Source organism: Homo sapiens, chromosome 14 (assembly GCF_000001405.40).
Source record: "Homo sapiens chromosome 14, GRCh38.p14 Primary Assembly".
Taxonomy (NCBI): Eukaryota; Metazoa; Chordata; class Mammalia; order Primates; family Hominidae; genus Homo; species Homo sapiens.
In genome coordinates this window covers 46,476,206-46,502,700 of record NC_000014.9, presented here as the reverse complement: position 1 = coordinate 46,502,700, position 26,495 = coordinate 46,476,206, and the positions used below count along the sequence as shown (strand labels likewise).

Sequence of the window (26,495 nt, the reverse complement as noted above, 5' to 3'; positions counted from 1 at the left end):
CCATTTTTAGCAGTTTCAGCCCCTGAACAGCTGCCCTACTGCAGACCAGCAGTAGGCACTAGTTACTGGATTCTAGTCCAGTGGCATTTGTAGTTTTCTGGAAAACACACTTATTCTCTGTGTTCTGCTAACAATTCTCCCTTTTGTTACACCAGTCCTTCTAACAAACACTTTTTAATCAATTCCCTGTTTGATATCGCCTTTGAAAAGTTAGCATATTTCTATTTATTTATTTTCTAGGTTGTACCCTGAAGATACAATTTCTCAACCATAAAGCCATGTTTATTTCTATGAAAGAAAAGAACACTTTTATAATCAGTACACTTGTAGTTGACAAAATCAAGATTTTGTAATTTTAAGAATGCCAAAAAATACCCACAGAAAGTAAATTTATAATTTTTTCTATAGGCAGGCACAGGCAATATAAAGTTTTTTCTCAAGTACATGGTTTTAAAGAGAGTATTAGAATTCTCTATAGCAATGCTATAGACCTCAAAATGGGGTCTGTGAACCAGTGCCAGCCTACAGACTGTTACCAGTATTTTAGGCAATAGAGAGCTTATTCTAGAATGGAAATAAATACACTGTATCTTTGATAGAAAATGTCTTTCTACAAAAAAAAAAAAAACACATAATTAATCTACATATTTTTGTGAGCGCCTTACCTCCCATACCAGTTACAATCAATCAGTTCACAAACTAGTGCATAAACCACTATATAAAAAGGGATTATAGATTACAAGAATTAGACTAAAAGTAATTCCTCTGAAATATCAAAATGTAGCACATTAGGCAGGTTTTCTTTTAGATGCAATTTCTTTTAGGTCAATATGTATTTTATTTTTGGAAAAAAATATGTTCACAATGATATATGAAATAACAATCATATGAAAGTAAACTAATACCTAAAAGTTACAATGCTGATGTAAAGGGACCAGTCAATACACTAAGAACAGTCACATTCACTATTCTATAAGGAACAGAAATGACTTAGTAAAGAAGTTAGTTAGATTTTAAGGAAAGATTGAGAAAAATGGCATCTCCTTATAAGGATAATGAAAAACTGATTCTATAAGGATAATGAAAAACTGATTCCACAGAAAAGGAAACAAAAATATACAGAGCATTAAAAACAGAGAACAGGGCTATATACTTCCACCTTTCTGTGCTCAACACAGAATGGTGTAAATAAAATAATAAGGAGGAAAAAGAATGAAACACCTAATTTATGTGAGAGAAAAGTGGGAAAAAAAGTAGAAAATTTAGGGTCAGAGCGAATCTTCTTTATAGTGGATTGTGAAGCAATTAAAAGAAATCAGAATGATGTAAATAAATGATCATTTTTTCATCCTATTAGAGTGGAAGTCTTCTTTTCCAACATCCTATTGAAGTACCTGATGAAAAATGATAAAGGTTTATATTAGTTTCACATATGCAAATAATAACTTCAATATTATAGTACTCATAATTTCAACCAATATTCTTGAGCTCGTATTGGAATAATTTTTTGGAAAAAAAATAAATACAAATATACTTCATATAAGTTAAGTTGTTGGAAATTTAATATCAAGGTAGTGAATAAGCCAAATTTATCATCATATTTGATGTTTGTGTTGTCCCTTTGTACTCATGACTTCTTTTTCTCAAAATCTGTACCAGCTGCTGAGTACAGAAGAAGCCTGTGATTTTTAAATAATTGCAGCACATTCTATAGCTCAAACAAATAAAGCTTTGATTTAAGATTGTTTAATCTCAAAGAGATCAGTATAGAAAACAGATTAGAAACATGGATGAAGTAGAATTCAAAAAGAAAGAATCTCTATTCAGCTCCAAAGCTAAGCAATAGCATTTCTCAAAAGATGGCTTCATGATGTGAACTGGAATCAAAGAAATTACTACATTCCTTTGAATTTCAGTGAGCTTTTAAACCAGAGGGTGAGTGTATCAATAACTGTTCTTTGTGAAAGATTGAATATGAGCCAATGCTAATTTTATATCTCTACCCTCTCAGAAAACTCTAATGTTTAGAGTAAAAAGAAAATGAAACTTTCCTTATATTTTTAAATCAAAATCTATACTGGCAAAAATGTTTTATTGTTAAACCTATGTTTCACCACCAAGCCATCTTCATTCACAAGAATAACAACTACAATAATCACAGCAACAATTGTCAACATTTACTGGGTGCATACCATGTGCCGGGTACTCTTTTTAACTATTTTGCATATATTAATTTAATCCTCATAACAACACTGAACAATTGTCTCCATTTTACACAAAAGAGATAGAGCAATGGACATTAATCCTAGAAATTTCTGAGCTATAATCTTTTGGTAAGTTACTGCCAAAAATTCCGTTCTTCAGAATTAGAATGTTATGATATGTAACACATAATTCAATATGCCTCTAAAAGCCTTTCACACAATAGGGCTGTTAAACAATAAAAAAACTAAATCATAAAAAGAAGTATGTACGTTTTGAAAGTAATACCAGAAAATATTTTCTTCATATAATCTGGCCTTCCACAGATAAATAGATTTGTTATGTGCATGAAAATATAAAAAAGGCTTTCAATGACACTGTTAGACTAGAAATAGAAATTTAATATACATTATAAATAATAATTTAACCTATTCCCAGTGAAAAACCATTAAGTGGTGAAAATTACTTAAAAAAACACAAAGAAACATTCAAAGTCCCTGAAAATTGCCACAAGGGAATAGAGCAAACCAAGAAACGTTTAGTCATGGAAATTTACTAAATCTCTGTAAGAACAGCTAGTCTGTCAGACTTGAGTTACAGCCTAATCCTTCTGCCCCCACCCCTCCCCCTCAGCATGACAGACTTTCCACTAGGCAGGTGTGGACACCAAGACAGGAATTCTTTTTGTCCCAGCTCCCCATCAATGGCTACTATATGTCACCAGAAAAAGCAGATTGCCATCATTTTTCATCTCTTTGAGCTCTGTTTTGCAGAGGCTAAATTCCAAATGAGGTTAGCCAAGATATCTCAAGCCCCAATCTTCCACCTGGCACCCATCCTTAGAGCAGAGGCTCTAACTCCAGGCATCACAGACCAAGAACACTAATACCGCAATAGCCATTGACCCAACTCTGTCATAATATGGAAGTTCCACAGAGGAGAGGCAAGCTGGGAAGACGAGAGGATTATGCTGAAAACTCTGCTCATAAAACAGGTATGTAACTCCAAGAGGATCTGGTCATTGTCTTGATCATAACTCTGAAGCAATAAATCAGAATTTTTCCTTGGGGAAAGAATACAGGAACAGAATGCACTGCAGCTCACCCCAAAGGAACTGACTTTATTTAGGACAGAGAATGAGGAAGTTCAACCCTAAGTGTATGCTCCAACAAAATGGGATGCAAGGCTGGTTCAACATATGCAGTCAATAAATGTAGTCCATCACATAAACAGAACCAATCACAAAAACCACATGATTATCTCAATAGATGGAGAAAAGCCCTTTGACAAAATTCAACACCCCTTCATGCTAACAATTCTCAATAAACTAGGTATCGATGTAACGTATCTTAAAATAATAAGAGTTATTTATGACAAATCCACAGCCAATATCATACTGAATGGGCAAAAGCTGGAAGCATTCCCTTGGAAAACTGGCACAAGACAAGGATGCCCTCTCTCACCACTCCTATTCAACATAGTATTGGAAGTTCTGGCCAGGGCAATCGGGCAAGAGAAATAAATAAAAGGTATTCAAATAGGAAGAGAGGAAGTCAAATTGTCTCTGCAGATGACATGATTGTGTATTTAGAAAATCACATCATCTCAGCCCAAAATCTCCTTAAGCTGATAAGCAACTTCAGTAGAGTCTCAGGATACAAAATCAATGTGCAGAAATCACAAGCATTCCTATACACCAATAATAGACAAACAGAAAGCCAAATCATGAGTGAACTCCCATTCACAATTGCTACTAAGAGAATAAAATACCTAGGAATACAACTTACAAGGGATGTGAAGGACCTCTACAAGGAGAACTACAAACCACTGCTCAAAGAAGTAAGAGAGGAAACAAACAAATGGAAAAATATTCCATGCTCATGGATAGGAAGAATCAATATCTTGAAAATGGCCATACTGCTCAAAGTAATTTATAGATTCAATGCCATCTCCATCAAGCTACCAATGACTTTCTTCACAGAATTGGAAAAAACTACTTTAAACTTCATATGGAACCAAAAAAGAGCCCGCATAGCCAAGACAATCCTGGGCAAGAAGAACAAAGCTGGAGGCATCACGCTACCTGACTTCAAACTATACTACAAGGCTACAGAAACAAAACAGCTCAGTACTAGTACCAAAACAGATATATAGACCAACGGAACCGAGCAGAGGCCTCAGAAATAACACCACACATCTACAACCATCTGATCTTTGACAAACCTGACACAAAAAAGCAATGGGGAAAAGATTCCCTATTTAATAAACGTTATTGGATAAACTGGCTAGCCATATGCAGAAAACTGAAACTGGACACCTTCCTTACACCTTATGCAAAAATCAACTCAAGATGGATCAAAGACTTAAACATAAGACCTAGGACCATAAAAATCCTAGAAGAAAATCTGGGCCATACCATTCAGTTTGTAGGCATGGGCAAAGACTTCATTACTAAAGCACCAATTTTGGCAACAAAAGCCAAAATTGACAAATAGGGTCTAATTAAACTAAAGAACTTCTGCACAGCAAAAGAAACTATCAGCAGAGTGAACAGGCAACCTACAGAATGGGAGAAAATGTTTGCAATCTATCACCTGACAAAGGGCTAATATCCAGAATCTACAAAGAACTTAAACAAATTTATAAGAAAAAAAACATCAAAAATTGGGCAAAGGATATGAACAGACACTTCTCGAAAGTAAACATTTATGCAGCCAACAGACATATGAAAAAATGCTCATCATCACTGGTCATTAGAGAAATGCAAATTGAAACCACAATGAGATACCATCTCATGCCAGTTAGAATGGCCATCATTCAAGAGTCAGGAAACAACAGATGCTGGAGATGATATGGAGAAATAGGAATGCTTTTACACCGTTGGTAGGAGTGTAAACTAGTTCAACCATTCTGGAAGACAGTGTGGCGATTCCTCAAGGATCTAGAACTAGAAATACCATTTGATCCAGCAATCCCATTACTGGGTATATACCCAAAGGATTAGAAATCATTCTACTATAAAGACACATGCACACGTGTGTATATTGCAGCACTATTCACAATAGCAAAGACTTGGAACCTACCCAAATGTCCATCAATAATAGACTGGATAAAGAAAATGTGGCACATATACACAATAGAATACTATGTAGCCATAAAAAAGAATGAGTTCATGACTTTTGCAGGGACATGGATGAAGCTATAAACCATATTTTTAAGCAAACTTTCACAAGAACAGAAAACCAAAGACCACATGTTTCTCACTCATAAGTAGAAGTTGATCAGTGAGAACACATGGACATTGGGAGGGGAACATCACACACCAGGGCCTGTCAGGGAGTGGGGGGCTAGGGGAGGGATAACATTAGGAGAAATACCTAATGTAGGTTATGGGTTGATGGGTGCAACAAACCACCATAGCACGTATATACCTATGTAACAAAACTCCACGTTCTGCACATGCACCCCAGAACTTAAAGTACAATTAAAAAAAGAAGCAATAAAAACAATCTAAATATCTAAAAAAGAAAAAAGAATGAGGAGCAAATATGAATATATGGAAAGAATTTTGTGTAAGAGAACTTAATTTTTTTTAGATTTAAGATTTAAATACAGAAAATTGAAAACTAAAAACCATGATTTGGCAGTAATCCACAGCTGCTAGCATTGAGCACCATTGGTGGATACCACACTGCTTAGGCCAGCCACTGTGAGTGCATATTTGCTCCATTATTCTTTCCTCCACTCAGGCCAGATTCAGCATCCCAGCTCCCATGCTTATGCCCTAGGTGTCATATGGTGGGAATAGGGCATAAGTGGCTCCTCTCAGTGGACGTACTTGGAGTCTTGTCCTAAACTATGACTCACAGATATAGAAAGCAGGGGTGGATGCTGAGTAGGCAAATATGGGACAAACATCCATGGCAGAGTGAAATGGTTAGATGGTAACATGCCTTACTTGGCTGAAATCATGATTGAGAGATAATGTACAGCACCATCAATTCCTTCAATATTTAACTAATGGGAGAATTTACTGTGAGTTTGAATCCAAACAAAAACTATCTCCAGCCTAGGATCATTTAAAGTCACCATAAAAAAAACAGAATATTTGTATTTGAAAAAGATGTATTTGATTATGAAAATGAAGTTCACAAATTATTGAGAAAGATCAAGAGAGAGGAGCTGAAAGGTTTTACAGCTGTTCTTGCACTATCAGTGAAAGCAGATTGTATTTTGAATATTATGCTGGATGGGACAGTCTACTTAACTAGACAGTACTAAGGTTCTGATTAAAAGCACAGGCTGGGGATAAAGATATGTTGGCAAATGTGAGCACTGGGTCAAAACCTGTGAGACAAAGGATAAGAATAACAAAAGTGGAAGAAGAGGAATCTACAGAGAACCGCGAAAGATACTAGTTTCTAAATATCTTTACTGGACTAAATAATGTCACCTGCTACTTACTGACAAAGAATTGGAAGTTCATTTTTCTAATACCTCATGTAGTCTTTATGTTTTATTATGTAAAATTTAGTATTAGATTAAATTTATAGAAAATAAAAATAAGGGGAGCAGTATTTTGGATCTTAAATTAATTAATTAATTTGACAGCCTCATGTATCTCTACCTGTTGTAGACATCCTCATCTACCTCTACCTATTGCCCTGCCCTGGTGCCAATCATAACTAGAAAATATCAAAATGGGCATGGAGGATTCCAAGAACAGCGGGCTAGTGGCCTGCTTCCTCTGGCCTTGCCTGAGGGAGACAGCAGGATGCTAAGAGGAGGCTGCATCCACATGAGTGTCCTACTCATTACTGAGGGAGGAGGATAGCACTACATTAGCAGAAGGAACATCCCAGTTAGATTAACCCAAGAGAGACTCCCATGAGTAGTGAGTTGTCTAGATTGTGTCCAAAAATTCATGTGTGCCTTGTCAGTGCTGCAAAGAAGATGAAATGATAGCATCTGGGTTTCAGTGATATGTAGATACTTTTTAACTGAAAAAAAGGACCAAGACTACAGTGTTGTGTGCCAGTACAGTGATTCAAAAGGGCAACTGAGTCTGTTCACACCCCGGGTATTATCAATTTGATGATTGAACAACATCTGTTACTGCCGTAAAAATCACCTACATACTCAGACAAACTTTTGGAAAGGAATGAAAAAGTGAAGGAAAGCTGAAGGGCAAGGATGTAAAAAAGAACATGACTAAGAATTATCTAAAATAAAGAGCCATTTAAATTAGATTATTTATACTCAAGACTCTGATACCAGTAATTGGCAAATTTAAAATAAATATTTTTCTCTTATTTGTCCTAGTAATTAAAATGGAATATTTGAAGGAAAAGTTTAGTTCCATCATAGGAAATAAAGTATATTATTTTATTTGTACTTACTTATGAGCATAGATGCCATAAATTTGCCATGTCATTACATTTAAATGTTTTCATTCCTTAGTGCAGATTAAAAGATAATAAATCCTACTGTAGCTTTAGAAGGAATTAGATAAACCCTGTGGTTATTTCCAGATACCTGGACTGGGGATATCCTCTCTGATTATTGAAACCCCTAGCAGTGCTGAGCTGAATTTTCATACTTGCCAAGTCAAATTGTTTCTTTCTCCCATTCTGAAGAATCTTTTTTTTCAACCTCACAATATGCAGCACCTACAATAGCCTGATAATTCTCAGAGAAAAGATCCATTTGTAAGGAGCATCAGAATTCCAGATCTACCGAATTTATTGCATTTACATAAATGTTTGCCTTCCTCTCAAATACTAAAATGGCAACGCCTTTATCCTAAAATTATACATAAAATCATATTGAATCTCATTCACTTGGAATCTCATTACATCAAATTTCTCTTATTTCCTGTCACAAAAATGACCTTGCCATTAAGTTTCTCATGAATGTTTTAACATACTCAAGTATCTGTCATTTGCAAAGTAAAACCGCTTCCAAAAATTTAAATTAAAAAAAATAACATTTATACTGTAGTGACTATCTTCTCCCTTCACAGTAAAATTCTTTAAAAAAAAATCCTCCAGAAACAAAAAACAGTAAAACTGACTATGTTTCCTCTCATTCACCTCATTTACCCCTCAACAATGATAATCAACTTTCTGTTCTCACCACCAATAGCTGAAATTGCTTTCATCCAAACCATTGACAGCTTACGTGTTCTTAAATAAAATAGAAACTTTGACCTCTCTACAGCATTTGACATTATTTACATTGACTCTTTGGAAAGCTTCTCTCCCTCACTTTTTCTCCCTCTCTTATGACCTTTCAAGTTTTGGATTTCTCTATTCCTTTTGGCTCCTACTTTGCATTTTATTTTAAGTTTTTCATTGATCATCTCGCTCCATAAAGAGATTGTAACTATTTAGTATTAATGATGATGCAGAGGGGGAAGTGAGCAGTCACAAGCATTTCTTGTCAGACTTTAAAATTAGTTTAACTGTTTGGAAGGGCTATTTGGCAGTATTTATCAAGATGTAACATGAGTAAAGGTCATGAGTGAAGTATCTGGATATCTAGGGCATCTAGCAGTTTGAAATTTCTGGGCTACAACCATCAAACAGTAGTATTTTTCTTTACTACTTCTAATCACACTGCACTCAATTTCTTTTGCCAGCTGAGTAGCAGTCCCTTTCATTACAACCAGGACATGTCCAGAACTTTCCAGTTAATTACAGTTTAAATTTTATCTCAAATCTACATTTTTATATTACTCGATTGAACTATATTTTATGTACAATAAACTATATATGTCAAGTACATAATTGGGTAAGTTTTGGAATATGCGATACACTTGTGAAATAACTGCAATCAAGACAGTACACACTTCTTTCACTCCCCCGAATTTTCCATGTTCTTCTTTGCAATCAACCTGATCTTCCCATCACTCCTGTCCCCAGCCAATTACTGATCTACATAGGTCAGATTGCATTTTCTAGAAATTCTTGTAAATGCAATCATATATTATGTGTGCTTTCTGTATCCGACTTATTTCATTTAGCGTAATTATTTTGTGATTCATCCATGTTGTTACATGTGTTGATAATTCATTTTTTATTGCCAAGTAGTATTTCATTCTATGGAAAACATTTTGATACATTTATTTGTGGATAGATGTTTGGGCTATTTCCAGTTTTGAGCTTTTACAAATAATGTAGCTGTAAACATTTATCTACAAAAATTGATAGAGACATATGATTTCATCTCTCTTGGATAAATATGCCTGGGTTTCATATAAACATGTAATAAGCATATGTTTAAATTTTTATAAAATTGCCAAGCTGTTTTTCAAAGTAGCTGGGCTCTTTTACATTCCCACCAGCAATATATGAGAGTTCCAGTTGCTCTACATCTTTACCAACACTTGGCACAGGCAGACTTTTTCAGTATTCTATTGAACATACTTTGATTTTATGTTCTTACATTGATAGATGTTTGGGTTATCTCCAATTTTTTTGTTATTGTAAATGAAAGGCCTATAAACACGTTTCCAAATCTTTGTCATGACATATACTTTCATTTTGTTTTAACGTTGATAATTTTGGACTATGGCACTGTGGATAGTATGTTGTATTCAATCCAGGATCTTTTATATTCCTCTAAGTTGATGCTTTTGTTTTAGCTAATAATTCATCTTTTCAAGTCATTCTGTTAGCTCAGTCTCATCTTCTGTGGATGCTTGTTCGAATCTCCATCCTATTATTTAAGCCTTTGCTGAAGTGATTGATTTGAGTTCGTCCCCAATGATGTGGTTTATGGATCAATTTGAGATTGTGTGCATATGCAGAATCATGGGATCTCATCCTCCATTTTTTCTCTCCTGTGAGAATTCCCCTCACTTTCTGACAGCTGGCCATGGTTGTCCAGGATCCTTTTCCTTTTTTCTATGTCCAGAAAGTAAGTGAGGTTTTTAGCAAAATTAGCTGCCTGTGATGAGCTGCTCTGTGTCTGTGGTCAGCCTGCAGGGAAAAACTGCAAGAAAATGGGAAATTGACTACTTTTTTGTCATTTATCTAAGTTTGACTCCACTGAATCACTGAATACTTAGCTAGTTGTTTTTGTTTTGTTTTGTCTGGAGTTTGTAGTTGCTCTCAGTGGGAAAGATGATCTGAATGAGGGGTTATATTATCGCACTGAATGCCAGTATCTCAAATCCAATTATAAGACTATGTCCTACCCTTTCTCAGAACAGGTTAAAGTATGGCTTGAGGTACTCAGATGGTGGAGGGGCATTATCTACTCTTTAAGTCCCCTTTACATTCTTCTTTTCTGGTAATGGAGCAGGGTAGAGTACTGAAAAATACAAAATATTGATAAAATATTTGTATCTTATTGGCATTTACTTATCCCTCTTTACTGGTTACTTTCTTTCTTATCCTGGATGGTCCATTGGCATTTTTAAATCAACCACCGTTGACAAGTATGTTTGTCAGGGCAAACTCTTTTTACATCGTGGTTTATAAAGAAGGCTGGTGCTGGCAAGGAGTGGGCTTGAGGACCTGAATGTTTGCAGATGTACAGCTGTGAATGGGATGCTCATTTTCCCTTCCTCAGGCATCTTCAAATTCAGAGAATCCTTCTGGATTTTTGGACTTTTTTCTCCCTCAACGTGGATTAAATGTTGGACTTTTCTCACTCAACTTGGATTGAATGTTGTCATAGAGATCTAACAGCAAGTGAACTAATGCTGATTCAAAGACACCAAGAGAGGGGGCGAAATGGAAGGTGTGAAATCACAGAAACCAAGGGTAAGCAAAATCATATGAGCATACTCCCAATTTATGAAGGAAAAGTTTCAGTATTCTTTGGCAGGCTGACAACTCACAATTACAATGTTCTTTCTTTCTCCTCCTATTTAGTACTCATTCTAAGGAAGGATTGGGCCACCTCTAAATCATTTTAAGAGAAAGACTAGTCCCAGATTTCTATAGTATAGTTTTCCATAGATTGTGAATTTGTATCTAGGCATGAGAAAAGTCTCACTTGATATCATGCTACATTTCCAGGAATGAAAAACTGCAAATAAATAAGCCATCACTTGATATCCTGCTACATCTCCAGGAATAAAAAGCTGGAAATAAATAAGCCGTAAGTAGAGAAATGGTTAAACAAATTCCAGTGTTTCAATGCTATGAAATACTATTCAACAGTTAACAAGTCTGAGGAAGAAACATGTATACTTACATGGAAGAATAACTATATAACATAATTGGTAAAATAGCAATTTATGGAACAAATTGAGGAGTATGTTCTCATTTTTTGCAAAAATCATATGCACTTATATTCATGCATTTACCCTTCTTCTCCATTTACTTGCCAGAGATATTTGGGCAAGGTATTCAACCTCTCTATCTCTGTTATCTCATCTATGAAAGAAATATAAAAATTTTCACAAGACAGAATAATAATAAAACAATTGAAACATAAATGTTCTGACTTGTTATAATCAAGAATGAATGAGTATAATTACAATAATTTATCATGAAATAAACGACTACTCAAAAGCATTCTAGCCATTTGTGTTAGAATTGTCAGATGGGTTCTGAGTAAAAGAGATGTGTGTACATAATTGCAGCTAATGAGGCATTGTTTTAAAGCCACCTCCGCACCACCAGAGAAGTAAGAGAGAACTTTAGAGTCTCAATGGCTGCATGACTTCATGTGTAATGAAGTTATATAATTCTTTCCAGGTTGTATTCAGTTCTAGCTACCTAGTAATCATGTTCTCACCTCACCAGCAGGTGTTCAATGCCTAGAGCTCTATAGTTTCCTTTGCAGTGATTCAATTATTCTGTTTCTGCTTTTATGTCTACTGACAATTTCAGTGATCACCTACTCTCTCTCCCCTATTGCTCCCCCTTGTGGCTTTTGCTTACCCATGGTTTCTGTGGTTTCACAGCTTCCATTTTTACCCTCTCTTGGTTTCTTAAGTCTGTGTTAGTTCACTTCTGGTTAGATCTCTATGTCAACATTCAATCCTTGACCCTCAACAGACACAATTTAGTTCATTCAGTCACTAGGTAGTATAGAATCTTTGTTCACCTGTCAGAGCAGGTTTGGCTGCCCATACCAATGAGATGTGGCAATATCACATTGTGAAATACCAGGTAATTTATATATAAGAACTCCTTCCAAACAGAAAGTGGAAGTGACAGAGATTACGTGGTTTCTAGGGAGAACTCCCTTACCTGAACTTTTTTTTCCCTTGCATTACATGGGAAGAAGTGTCTTGTATGCCGGAAGGTCATTCTTGTGGCTGATGTGGAAAATTCATTCTGATAGTTCTGTAATTTTTATCAGCAAGACAATAAGAATTTTGAAAAATATAAATTGTTAATATTTAACTTAGCTTTAAACTGTTGATAAAGTTAAGTTCACTTCTTGTTAAATCTCTGACCCCCAACCAAGAGTTATAATTGTTCAGTCAGTATGTTAGTAGTACAGAATCTCTATTTTAATCCAAGAACTCTCCCATAACTCACAAATGTATTCCTATAATTAGCTGAATGACAATCTACTAGGCTAAATTTGGATTCAAATAAAAATTCTTGTAGTTTCCACATAAAACAAAATAAATTATTTTTAAGTAAATTTCTTAATTTTTAAAAATTTTACTTACAAAATCATCAGAGATTGGCTGAAGTTCAAATATTGCTAACATGCCTATTTTTATCACATTCAAATTTTAATTTTATCACATTCAAATTTTAAAGTTATTATTCCAAAATTATATTTTATGCCACCCTTGGTTTTTTAACATAGATAAATCTCTTAAACAAATGTCTTATTTTTTTAATTTAGTTTAAAAATAACCCTACATTTATTTTACCTGGCCAATTATTTTTACATTTTATTGTTAGAATATGCTCTTAACTATAATGATTGGTAATTCACAGTGCCAATATATCACAATATATTCCTGCTTATTTATAAGAATTCCAGGAAACGAAGTTTACTGAGAAGCAGTGCAAAGGTAAATTGATGCAAAAGTATTGCTTTCTTCATTTGGAGATCTCTGTTGATTTAGGGTTGGGTTATTTTCAAATACAAAAAAAAAATTATCATTCAATAAGACAGAGCTAAAAACTGTGTTATGCAGCCTGGGCATGCGCAATAGCAAAAGCTTTTACTTCTAACAACACCTGGAATAAATGATTCTTCCCCTCAGAGCCAAGAAGATTGATACATGACTGGAGCCTGAATGGTAGAACTTTTTCAGAAGTGAGGAGTCTGTTGGCCCAGAAGATCTGCGGTAAGATCTGCCTCAACATACCTTACTGTAAGTGGTCAAATTTGAAGCCCTCTAATCAGACCCTGCCAAGCCAACATTCCTAAATCCTTTCTCTTGACCTCTGATCTCTTAAAATGTGCCCCACACTTCAAATTGGGTACATATATTTAAGCTCAACATTAGCCTTTCAACTGGCTGTTTTTGCAATACAGCTTTTCTTGAAAGCCAGAACCATAGGTATTAATTTCTGTGAGCATTGGGCTATAAGCCTATTTGCTCTGTAACAGGAGCCTGCTATAAAAAGGTAAAAAAAAAAAAAAAAAAAAAAGTTCTACTACGCTCAACACAAAGTCATCTAATACGGCTTTAAGCTTGGAACTCTAACAAACATGAATGGAGAAAACAAGACAGTAGAGATCATCGAGGAGGTTTTTATGGGACAGATTGCCTACATTCTGTTACCCACGCCTTACTCCCACAGCTGTATCTACCTGTTAAAGAGGCTCAAAAATGTAATTTTGTTCCAGATTAGAAGAAAAGAGAAATAGCTTACATTTCCATTTCATTCTCCCAGCTATACTTAAAAACCACTCATTTCCTTCCCAAGTGAGCCAATGCAGAGAACCAGTAGTAGTCACTGGCCCAGCTCAGTCAATGCTCAGGAATTTCGGATTGTAGACATATCCTCTTTAACAGGTCAAGGCATGGCTCCACGCAGCCCAGCAATTACGAACTAGAAAGAAGTTATCTGATCCCCATATACAAAACCCAATAATACTATTCGATTATTTAAATATTTCCACTTTGGATGAATATTTAGCAACGTGGAGAAATGCTCATGACCTCATAAGCAACAATGAGTAACAACAAATGATATATATAACCCTACCTAAAATATTAATTCAATTGTGTTTGTATTAAAGGAGAGAAAAAGAATGAAAAATAAGTAACATTTGTATTTGGATAGTAATTTTTGTGGTTTTCTTTATGCAATTGGATACTAAATGTGAATTTTCTTCTTTGTTCAGCATTTTTTTCAAAGAGACTCTAGAGTCTAAAATGAACAACCAATCAATTCTACAAACATTGCATCATGAGGAGTTGCTGCACCTCTTCTCCAGGATTTGCAAAACGTGTAGTCCAAATCGAGTTCGGCTAGAACTGGTCTGTCATCAAGATATGGCTCATGAAAGAGATTGGTGTTTAGGAGGCTGGGAAAAGGAAATATTTTGAGAGACTTCATGTGCTCCGCACATGGAGGTGGCTTCCTTTTGCCTCAGGTGAAGGGAGCTTCAACAAGATCACTCAGAGTTTGATCAATGATCTTAGAATTTGCAGAACATAGGGACTGCCATTTGACTCACCCTTTAGAAGTCAGGAGGAAAGGTTACGTGGCTGGCACTTCTCATGTCTGGGAAGGAACAACTGTGAAGTGCTGACCTAGACGAATGTTGCACTTCCGCTGATGAGTAGGCAATGGCGAATGTTTTCCAGGGTCCAAATGTGGACCCGGCAACAGAGAGGCTGTCTGTAATCACTTTATAAGAGACACTAACAACAATGACCACTGGGACTAAAGAGAGCACAACGGAAGTAGTTCTGCCAGAAGGGCTGAGGAGAGGGCTGAGCAACCACCCTCAGGGGAGGCAGACCCACATCAAAGACATCTCAGCAGTCCCTTTCCCATGAAAGAAAGAGCTAGAAATTGTCCATTTGACACACACACAAACCAGATCCCAGATTGCAATTGATTCAGATAATGAAAAGCTTGTTCTTTTCACTTGCTGTTCTAGCCTAACCATGTAGGTGTCAGAAGCAGTTGTAGGCTAGGAGAGAAGTCGGAGCAATACAGAAGCCAGTTCTGCCTTTGCCTCAAGATCCACTGTCCACTCAGAGGCAGGCTGGCACATGGGGGATGAGAACATTCCAAGAAAGATGTGAATCTGGAATTTTCATTTATGCAGTAGATGGGGATTTACTACTGAAAGGAACATGTTTTGGCAACTAATAGTGACCAAAAGAATTTGTACTTACTAAAAATTATCTTAAAAGCATGGGATTACCCTAGCATTTTGTTTCAGAAACTGAAATTAACAGAAAACTATAAAATTACTTTCTGCCTGAAACCTAAGAAGGTGAACTCATGCCAGAAACCAGTTACATTCACAATTACCTGGATTTTGTTATTTCCTACAATGAATAAAACTTATTATAAAGCAGAAAAGCCATCGCTGTTTGTGTACATGTTTGTGCGTGTGTGCACATGCATGTGTGTATCAGACGTGTATCAGTGTAACCACCTGATGTCAAGACAAATGATCAATTCTGACAATTCAGTACCAAATGTCAAACTAGATGTTTGGCATGAGGTAGGTATAAACAAACAACTTCAGCATTGACTGAATTTTTAACATTTCAACCAGTTATCTGAATGTCATGGAGATCAAAATATGGAATGTGGTGACCTAAAATCTTTAGCCAAAAGGTTGAGCTTTGCAGAAGCTTGCATTTTATGCATTATAGATTAATTTGCTAACTAACTAAACAATTTTGCCCTGCTTAGCCTTTTAGTCATTCATAGGAATCTCACCGGGTGCAGATAAAAAGTTCACAACAATTAGTTTTCAACTAATATTTTAGCACACTATAGCACAATGATTATTTTGCAATAATCAGCACCAAGATTAGAATACATAATTTATCCAAAGCTACAAATTAACTATCTCACATTTTTTTTCTCCCAACAAAATATACAGTAATCCTGAATTCCCTATTGAACTACTTAAAAGTTCTGCAATTATACCAACAGAGGCGAAGGAAAAAGTATCAACATCTATGCATACTTTTGCTGTGTAGTAAGAGCTGTTTTTATTCCCTAACCTTTGTCTCATACTTCACAGCAAATATGTGAAAATACTACCATTAATAAGCTTCTTGGATCTTTCTTTATTTGCTTTAACTTTTTTCTTTTATCTCTCTCTTTCAATACACATTTTTCTGAACACCTGGTAAATGTGTGGTATCTTTTAGGTGATAAGGATACATAAATAAAGGCAAAGTTATGAAAAATGCTGGACATCACTAATCATTAGAGAATTGCAAATCAAAACCACAATGAGATACCATCTCATAACAGTTAGAATGACTGCTACTAAAAAGTCAAAAAATAGCAGATGCTGGCAAGGTTGCAGAGAAAAGGGAACCCTTATACATTGCTGGTGGGACTGTAAATTAGTCCAGCTGCCCTGAAAAGGAGTGTGACAATTATTTCTCAAAGAACCTGAAACGGAAATATCATTTGACCCAGCAATCACATTACAGGATATATACCCAAAAGAATACCCAAAAGAATATATATTGCTCTGCCATAAAGGCACATGCATGCATATGTCCGTTGTAGTACTATTCACAACAGCAAAGACATGGAATCAACCTAAATACCCATCAATGGTAGACTAGATTTAAAAAAAAGTGTTTATATATATATATATATATATATATATATATATATATACCATAGACTACTACACCACCAGAAAAAAAGAATGAGATCATGTTCTTTGCTGTAACATGGATGGAACTGGAGGCCATTATCTCAAGGAAACAAATGCAGAAACAGAAAATCAAATATCTCATGTTCTTACTTATAAGTGGAAGCCAAACAAGAAAACATGGACACAAAGATCAGAACAATAGACAACAAGGCCTACTTGAGGGTGGAGGTGGGTAAGAGGGAGAGGGTTAGAAAAATACCTACTGGATACCATTCTTACTATCTGAATGATGGAATAATCTGTACATCAAACCCCTAGGACACGCAGTTTACCTATATGACAAACCTGCACATACACCTCTGAACCTAATCCAAAAGTTATAATGAAGAAAAGAAAAAGAAATGCAGAGTTGGCTCCTCTCACAAAATATCCATAGTCTTAGAAGGAAAAAAAGGAATAAAGAAAGACTTGAAACCAGTTATAATTCAAGCTAATATATGCTAAAATGGGGGCACATATAAGTTTGTATCTATCAAAATAAGAACAAGCTCTTCATGTTTTCTAGGAAAATTTAGGATGGTTTTATAAGGTAGGTTATGTACTGACCCCACATCTTACCCCTTTTGAATAGGTATAATCAAATTGCTCCCAATTGTGGGAAAAGCCAGACTTTTATTTATTTTTTTATTTTCTCATTATTTACATAGTCAAACATTTACTTAGTTGTCTACTCCACATTTATTCATTCTGAATAATACTCTGAATATTATTTAGTTGTATGCTAAGGGGTTGCCCAGAGTTTACTTTTAACTCGAGGCTAGACTAAGATAATAATCTGGATTTGTATAGTCGGTTTCAATATTAATGGGTCCTTGAAATTTTTCTTGAAAGAATAGTTAACATTTGAACAACTGAATTGGAAGCTATGAACATGGTTTTGTTTTAAAAGAGCTTAAAATGTTTCAACCTCCTTAATTAAACTTAACTTTAGACACAATTATTGATAATAGTTCTTTAGTATAATACTTCACATGCATTTAACAATTCGTTTCTTTTCCTTCACAGATGGAGGAATTAAATCCCAAGCATCTTCTAACTAGGGCTAGCCATTTTGAGAAACAGTGTTTTTATTTTTGTTTAATTTGCATTCAGTTTATGAGATATACTTCTTGTCACTGCTGTTAATCATTTTTATTAAGAAAATGCAGCAAAATGCACAAATAATTATACAGATACTGTTTTTTAGATAAACATGTTGACAGATTGGAACTAAACTTTTTGCTGGCAGGCAGTGTTGGTATATGTGAGGAAATCAGTTTGCCCCCTCCGGATGGGTGCTGTATTTAGATTGGCATAAAATTATTTCTTCTAGTCAGGAGAAAAATTTCATTATCTTACATTTACTAGTTGTAGTAAGACATAGAAAGTTGAATTTAAAGTAGAATTTATCCCCCAAAACAAAGAAAAAATTATGTACATTCAGATGATTTTTACTGCATAAAATAAGGAATAATGAGGTTAACAAAAAGTTCGTGTGTTAGAAAATAACTATTTTCGTCACTCCAACATCATATGATCTTAGAATATTTCTTGTTAATGTAATAGCAGATAATAAAAAAATTAAGCAGAAAATTTCTGTAACTTTAGAATTCACTTAACAGACATTAATTCAGTGAATGCTATATAGGGATTGCGCTGAACAACAAGAACATTTCTCTGTCCTCATTCTCAAAGAAATTTCAGAGTATTGAGAGACACAGTCAAGTGCTAGGATTATGCATTCTTTGCCATAAGAACAAATGGAGAAACTTCTCACAGTGGCTGAGATGAAAAGGGGCAGAGGTTTTCACAGAGGCCTATCTAATGATATTTATTTAACTAAACTAAATTTACTGCCCACAAGCAGTATATGAGAGTGACAATTTCCCCACACCATTGTATATTATTGAGAAATAATTTTCTGTTTTGGGAAACTTCCCAAGACAGTAAATATTTATTGAGCTCTTACTGGAGAAAATAAATGTAATAAATAATAATATAAATTGTAATAAAGGAATATGGGCCACAGTATTTGCTCTCAATTTCAAAGTCTATTAAGAAATTAGAGATAATTATCCCAAAAGTTAAATAATTATACAAAAGGAAGCTAATGCAATATAAATAATGAGAAGGACTGTGGCAGCTTTTAGGTGACAAAAATTTACAGAAAATGAAGACCTTATGAACAAACAGATGACAAAACTTCAGAAAGAAAAGCCCTATCTGCAAAAATATGATGGGTGTGGCTGTAATATATGGGACATACATTGATAAGGTCATAGGAAAGATGGAGGAAAGCCAGTAGGACACCATGGTATTAAGTGTATATGAAGCATATTAAGATACCTAAAGGAAATGTGCCTCTTCAGAACACTGCATTCATTTTCAAATTCAATCCATAAATATCAATAGAGCATGTTACTATGTGCCAGGCACTTGGGACAGAGAGAGCACAGAGCGAATGATTGCAGCCCTTGATATTTAGAACCTAAATATTTTCCTACAAAGAAATTCGACACAAAATATATATGCAACAGAATTATTCAGTGCCCTTTCACAGGTTCAAATTAAAATAATCTACATATGTGCATCTACACATGTACATATATGTATATATTTACATTATATATGCTTTGTATATATGTAAATTGTGTATCGATAAGTAGATGAATGAATACAATGAGGCTAATATTAAATAATGTATTTATCAACCAATCATTAAATAATTATGCTATACCAAGTACTGTACCAGTTACTTTACATATGATACTTTATTTGTAGTTTCTACGACTATAAGAAATAACATTGTTAGAGTGATTTTATTAACAAGGCTATCATTATACTCCTGCTATCAAGAAGAATGAAAAAAATCACTTGAATGATATTGTCTACTTTTCTGTATATTGAAATGAATGTTTTGTTGATAACTAAAATCTTAATTTTTTTCACAGAAAATGCTTTCAGAATATGCTCAGAACAATTTAAATTTCATAAAGATGTAGATGAGTTCTTACAATACTGAAGTTTGTCATACTGCCATATTTCATGTGCATCTGAGTTGGAATTTAGAAATTATAACATCAAATTATATTCTTTAATTAATTGGGATATAAAATAATTTTAGAAGTTAAAATACTTAAAAATCAACAAATTCAAGTAATATAACCTATTTGGATTCTTTTTATTAAAATTTGGTCCAGTTTCAAATAATTTGTAACAACTATTCCTAACAGACATTCTGTGATTTAGTTAGGTATTTTCTGAACTTTGATAGTTTACAGTTTGGTGTTAGGCATGGGTCACTGCCCTCACTATTACTATTAGGCAGAAGTGTGGTGAAATTTGATTATTTAACAGCAGCACCAGAAGGAACAGTTATGAGAAGATTCCTGAAGTCATGTCTCCTTTATTTTCACTCCTGAAAATATAAATGTGTTTTTTAAATTGATATTAAAACCACTGAAATTACTTTTCTGCCTTTCTTTTCACTCTTCCCTTTTCTCTCCTTTTCTGAGACAATAATAATTCTTGTTCATTTCATCATGCCCATCATTCTTACTGCCTAGCTCTTTTTCCTTCATTATCAACTTATCTTCAAGTTGTATTACAATCACTTCCAAACATGTCTACCTCTCCATATTTTCAAACAGAAACAAAACAGTATCAATGACTATACATTTTCTCCTATCTAAATTTTGTACTATCTGTCATCATGACAGTTTCAAATCCCTCCTATGCTACCCTTTTGTATTCTCTCCTTGATCCTTTCCTGAAAAGATCCTTTCCTGGAAAGATAATTCTCACATGTACTGTCGTTTTTATTCTAAGCCTTTATTTGGTAAACAATTCTAAAGAAGATGAATTGTCTGAAAAAATTGTTTTCAATTATTTAAAATCTAATGCCTTTCTCTTCAGAAGCACTTTAGATATTCTATTCCTGAAGACAGGAGGTATTTTACGTGATTGATTTTTCTATCAAGAGCGTTCAATGCTGTGAAATTTAGTATAAAAATAAAATTAGCTAGCTCTCTGCTATTCATTAATCAGAATCAAATTCATTCTTTGAGGAAGATACAAGTTTTTTTTTTTTATTATTTGGGCTGGCTGAATACCTGACTGCTTTAAAAACATTTTGAATAAATGAAACCTGTAACTTCAATGGGAAGTGATAGCCATATAAACCTTACTCTGTCACAGTTAGCATTTAGCTTTGTTCTGCAATGCTATGAACCAGCACTATCTCTCCAGCTCCCTTTTTTCCTATCTCTCTCTTTCTCTCTTCCCCTCCCCTCTTATTACTTCCTTAGTTCCCATGAACATTTTTTTTTCTGATAGCAAAAGCAAAGGATCTCAATTTAGAAGTAAGGTATTTTCTATTCAAGTCAAGAGAAAATTTTGTAAATATCTGAATGGCACATTGGCAACACTTTTAGAATTCATGGTAAGCATTTTATTGAATTTAACAATCTTGGAGTGCCAAGGGGTAGCCTTTTAAAAGTCTCTGACTAGGGAAGTTTGAGATTCAGTGAGAATATTCACAGCAACTTAAGTGCATAAATTTTCTAACTGGAAAGAATTTTAGAGAACTGCTATAATAATCACGTTAGAGATGAGATACTGGAGGGGCAGGAGGGAGGGGTAACTCCCTCGTTATCTCACTCACCAGTGTCAACATCTACTGGCAAGCAAGACCTGGTTTTGTGTCCATACACAGAAGGGAAAGGTTTACACAGCCTCTGTCTATCACAGATACTCCTGTTCTTCAGGTCACAGTTCTTCCATGCACAGAAGCTACTCAGTGAAGAGGTTCCAGAAACGTACTCTGAGCACCTTGATTTTCAAACTTGTCCTACATTCTGGGTTAAGTATACATAAAAGAGGGCACTGTACTGGCAACTCTTTGGCTTCTATAAAATCTCCAGTATGAAGCAGCTAAAGGAAATTAGCTTATTTATGGAAACTATGAAGATTTTAAAATAGTGATTCATCAGCTGTTCTTATAATCAACCAGATAATAAATTTTACAAAATCTTTACTTAAAAATAAATGCCAAATTAACTGCAGTTGGATAGATGTGCACATACCTTCACTGAAATGAAGTCAGATATCAGTATATTAAACGAAGTTTTTGGATTTGAATCCTGCTCTGTCACTTAAGATCTGGGTGAACTTGGGCAAGCAAAACTCTCTAACTCAATCTTCTTAGCTTTAAAATAAGGATAATAAATGTGCCTTTATCTTTGTGGCGTTGTGAGGATAAAACAAGTCAATACATATTGAACTCCTTGAATAGATTCTGAAACTTATTAAGGCTTCAAAGATGGAGTTCTTAATGATTGAATGTCATATTAAAAGTATCCTTATTGTACATGCCTTGTCACGTATGGTCTCACAGTCATTCCAGTCAATGCTCTGCTTACTCCATTTTTCTTGCAGTCCCAGGATAGAGATAAGTATATAAGAAATTTGAGCATCTGTAAATTTTGCTATCTTCAAGCAGTCCTGGAGCCAATCCTCTCAAGGAACCCAAAGGATGATTGTATGCTAATATATCTAAATTCTTATATAAACATGTACAATATTTTTTCTTTTGGGAGATGAAACCCTTAAGAAATGAGTAATCCACATGTTCTAGGAATGCCCACAGAGAGGCCTAACACTTGATATGAGAGAGCTTGTTTTAACCATGTAAATATTTCATGTGGCATAAAAGTTACTAGTTACTTCTACAGTCACCTAAAGTTAAATCTGCTGCTTTATTTCATGTTCCCCATAGGCATGCCCTTGGCAAACACCACAAGTCTAGTAATTCCAGAAGAAATTATCTCTAAGGAAGAATTATAATACTGTATGTTAAGACTCAAATACTTTCTCTAGCTAAAATCATGTTTGATATTTGGTTATGAGAATGTGCTATGTGCTACAATGAATTGATCAGAACAGAAGAAAGGAGAAACAAGCTAAGAGAGCAAGAATAAAAGAAGTAATTAAGAATATTAATTATTCTCTAGAGCACACTCTCAAAAACCTAGACATTTAGACATGGTCTCCAATTGTCCCAAAGAATCCAAACTGCAACGTGTGTGTGTGTGCATGCACACCCTGTGTGTGTATTCCACTTAGAGAACTAGTTTCTTACCTCTCATTCATCATTATCACCACCAAAGACAGAGAGGGAGAGGAAGAGGGAGATTAGGTGAGATTTGTTGCCAGACTTATTCTGAAAGTAGCTTGGTGATAACTTCACAGGTACTAGTACCAACAAAATATTAGTAATACGAATTTGCATGTTTAATATTGCTCTTTATTTTTTGTATCTTTTGGAATGACTGCCTGAGATTGCAACTGTTTTTCTTGCAGGACATAGAATTCACTTTTCCTTATAAAGAATGGATCAACAAAATTAAGTAAATATCAACAAATTGCTTCTTAAAAAGTTTGTTATTTTACCTTCCAACTAGTATAAGACTTTACCTGTCTCATTCAATCTTTAAATATTAATATCGTTGTTAATTATTTCTAATTTGACAGTTAAGATATTTCATTTTTGTGTTGTTGTGTTTATTTTACTACTACCTTGGGCACGTTTTTATAATTTTATTAATCCTATATATTTCCTCCTTTGTGAATTTTTTACGGTCTTTGTCTATTAATAGTGGGTTTTGACTTATTTTTATTTTTTTTGGAGACAGGGTCTCGCTCTGTTGCCCAGGCTGGAGTGCTGTGGTGCAATCTCAGCTCACTGCAATCTCCACTTTCCATGTTCAAGTGATTCTCATGCCTCAGCCTCCCAATTAGTTGGCACTACAGGTGCCCGCCACCACACCTGGCTAATTTTTGTATTTTTATTAGAGACAGGGTTTCACCATGTTTGCCAGGCTGGTCTTGAACTCCTGACCTCAAGTGATCCTCCCGCCTTGGCCTTCCAAAGGGCTGGGATTACAGCCTGAGTCACAATGCCTGGCCTGACATTTTCTTTTGAATGTTCATTTGCTATAGATACTATCGTATTTCCTTATTTTTTAATAGTTAATTTTTTTTCAGCTGTAGTTTTAACTTTTTGATATTTAGATAAAATTGTAATGTGTTGAGGTAAAATCTATTAACTTTTTTATATTTTATTATTATTATTATTATTATTATTATTATTATTATTATTTTTGATACAGGGTTTCACTTTTGTCACCCAGACTGGAGTGCAGTGGCGGGATCTCGGTGCACTGCAACCTCTGCCTCCCCAGGCTCAGGTGATTCTTTCACCTCAGCCTCCTGAGTAGCTGGGACTACAGCCATGCACCACCATGCCCGGCTAATTTCCTGTATTTTTAATAGAGACAGGGTTTCACTATGTTGTCCAGGCTGTCTCAAACTCCTGAGCTCAAGTGATCTGCCTGCCTTGCCCTCCTAAAGTGCTGGGATTACAGGTGTGAGCTACCGTGCTCAACCCTATTTTATTACTTTTATGCGCAGAAAGTGATTTTCATCCAGAGATGAGGCAAATTTTCACCTGCATTTTCATCTAGCTTGTTTATTTTCACATTTAAGCACTTCAGAGCAATTACGTTTCTTGAACGTAGGAGAAATAGACATATTAATTTATTGCTGATACCATAATTTCTCAATATATTTTATCGTACAAATCAAAATTTCACCATTCTATCATAATATTTATTAAATATCAAATGTGAAATCACAGAAGAAAAGTCATGTGCACCCAGCAGTCAAGTCAAATACCACCAGGAGAAGGCTATCATGTTGCCTCCCAAGACTCTTCCTAGAAAGGCTATTCCATGATAAATTTACTCTAATACAGGGACTGGCTTTCTGACTGCCATAGTCTGAATCATGATTTGTCAATACATCAGAAATAGACTTTTCTAGTTTACACTCCCACCAACAGTGTCGCTTCTCCACAACCTCGCCAGCATCTTTTATTTTTTTCACTTTTAATAATAGGCATTCTGATGGTGTTAGATGTTATCTCATTGTGGTTTTGATTTGTATTTCTCTACTAATCAGTGATACTGCTCTTTTTTTCTCATATGATTGTTGGCCACATGAATGTCTTCTTCAGCCATTGTGGAAGACAGTGTGGTGATTCCTCAGTGACCAAAAGACAGAAATACTATTTGACCCAGTAATCCCATTACAGGTATATACCCAAAGGAATATAAATCATTCTATCATAAAGACACATGCATGCACATATTTATTGCAGCACTACTCACAATAGCAAAGACATGGAATCAACCTACATGCCCATCAATTATGGACTGGAAAAGAAATTGCGGTACATATATATCATGGAATACTATGCAGCCGTAAAAAATGAATGAGATAATGTCCTTTCAGGAACACAGATGGAGCTGGAGGCCATTATCCTTAGCAAACTAATGCAGGAACAGAAAGCCAAATACCACATGTTCTCAATTATAAGTGAGAACTCTTACTTTTAATGACAAAAACTGCAATTGCTTTTGCACCAACCTAATAAATGATGAGAACTCATGGACACGTAGAGGGAAAAAACAAACATGGTAGCCTATCGGAAAGTGGAAGGTAGCAGGAGGGAAAGGATCAGAATAATAACTAATGGGCACTAGGCTTAATACCTGAGTGATGAAATAATCTGTACAACAAACTCCCATGATACCTATGTAACAAACCTGCACTTGTACCCTTCAACTTAAAAGTTTTTAAAAAAGAAAGAGTCCAGAAATAAACAACTCACAAGTTTCCAAAACAAAATAAAGAAAATAATATATGTATATTGTATAAATATACAAACATTAAATATTGTACACAATAAAATAAGAAAATTCCAACACACCCTTCTCTCTTGCCAAACTCAGTGTATATTCTAGAGGTAGCCAGTTTTTGGTACTTTCTCTCTCTCTGATTTTTTATTCCTGTCACACACACACAAACCCACAAATACATGTGTATGCACATACAGACACACACAGGCACATAGACACACAAACACATCTACCTTGGAAATTTAAAAATCAATATTATAATTTTAAAAATATATAAATTAATTAAAAAACAAAACACTAAGTGCAAATGTACAAAACATATAAAAGTGTATTTGCTACAATTTTTCAGCAGATAATATATCTCATCTACCCCTAATTCACCAAGTTTTTTGTTTTGCCTGTCTTTTTTTCTTAAATTAAGAAGAGTTGTTGCATTTGGTAAAATATTTTTTATGTTCATGAGGTGAATTACATTGATAAATTTATGTGATGGTGAATGACATTATATTCACGGTATTTGTACTACTTTATCCTGATATATAAATTCTAGTACTCTGCTTCATTTTGTCTGAAAATATTTTGTATTCAAATTTTTAACTGAAAAAATGTTTGCAAATTTCTTGTATTTTTTCCAATTTTGGTATAAAAATAAGTTAGATATCTTTCCCATTTTATGTGAAATATTTCATGTAAAATAGAAACTAACTTCCTCTTGGATTAGTAAACATACCAATAAAAAGTGTCCTT

The 26,495-nt window shown here is 34.7% G+C and overlaps 2 long non-coding RNA genes across 11 annotated transcripts in view; one reads left to right on the top strand and one right to left on the bottom strand.

Annotated features, from left to right (window-relative positions):
• LOC124903309 (uncharacterized) overlaps nucleotides 1-15,680 on the top strand; it is a 98,633-nt gene extending 82,953 nt beyond the window's left edge. For 6 of the 7 annotated variants that reach the window (XR_007064146.1, XR_007064143.1, XR_007064142.1 and 3 more), the window contains 4 exons: nucleotides 10,780-10,973; nucleotides 11,232-11,313; nucleotides 13,394-13,504; nucleotides 14,485-15,680. This is a non-coding gene — a long non-coding RNA (uncharacterized LOC124903309). The remainder of the gene's footprint in view (nucleotides 1-10,779; nucleotides 10,974-11,231; nucleotides 11,314-13,393; nucleotides 13,505-14,484) is intronic. The other variant, XR_007064144.1, reaches the window with a different exon arrangement.
• LINC00871 (long intergenic non-protein coding RNA 871) overlaps nucleotides 798-26,495 on the bottom strand; it is a 437,745-nt gene continuing 412,047 nt past the window's right edge. For 3 of the 4 annotated variants that reach the window (NR_102701.1, NR_102702.1, NR_102700.1), the window contains one exon: nucleotides 798-1,394. This is a non-coding gene — a long non-coding RNA (long intergenic non-protein coding RNA 871). Of the gene's footprint in view, nucleotides 1,395-12,413; nucleotides 12,510-26,495 lie in introns of all 4 variants that reach the window. The other variant, NR_102699.1, reaches the window with a different exon arrangement.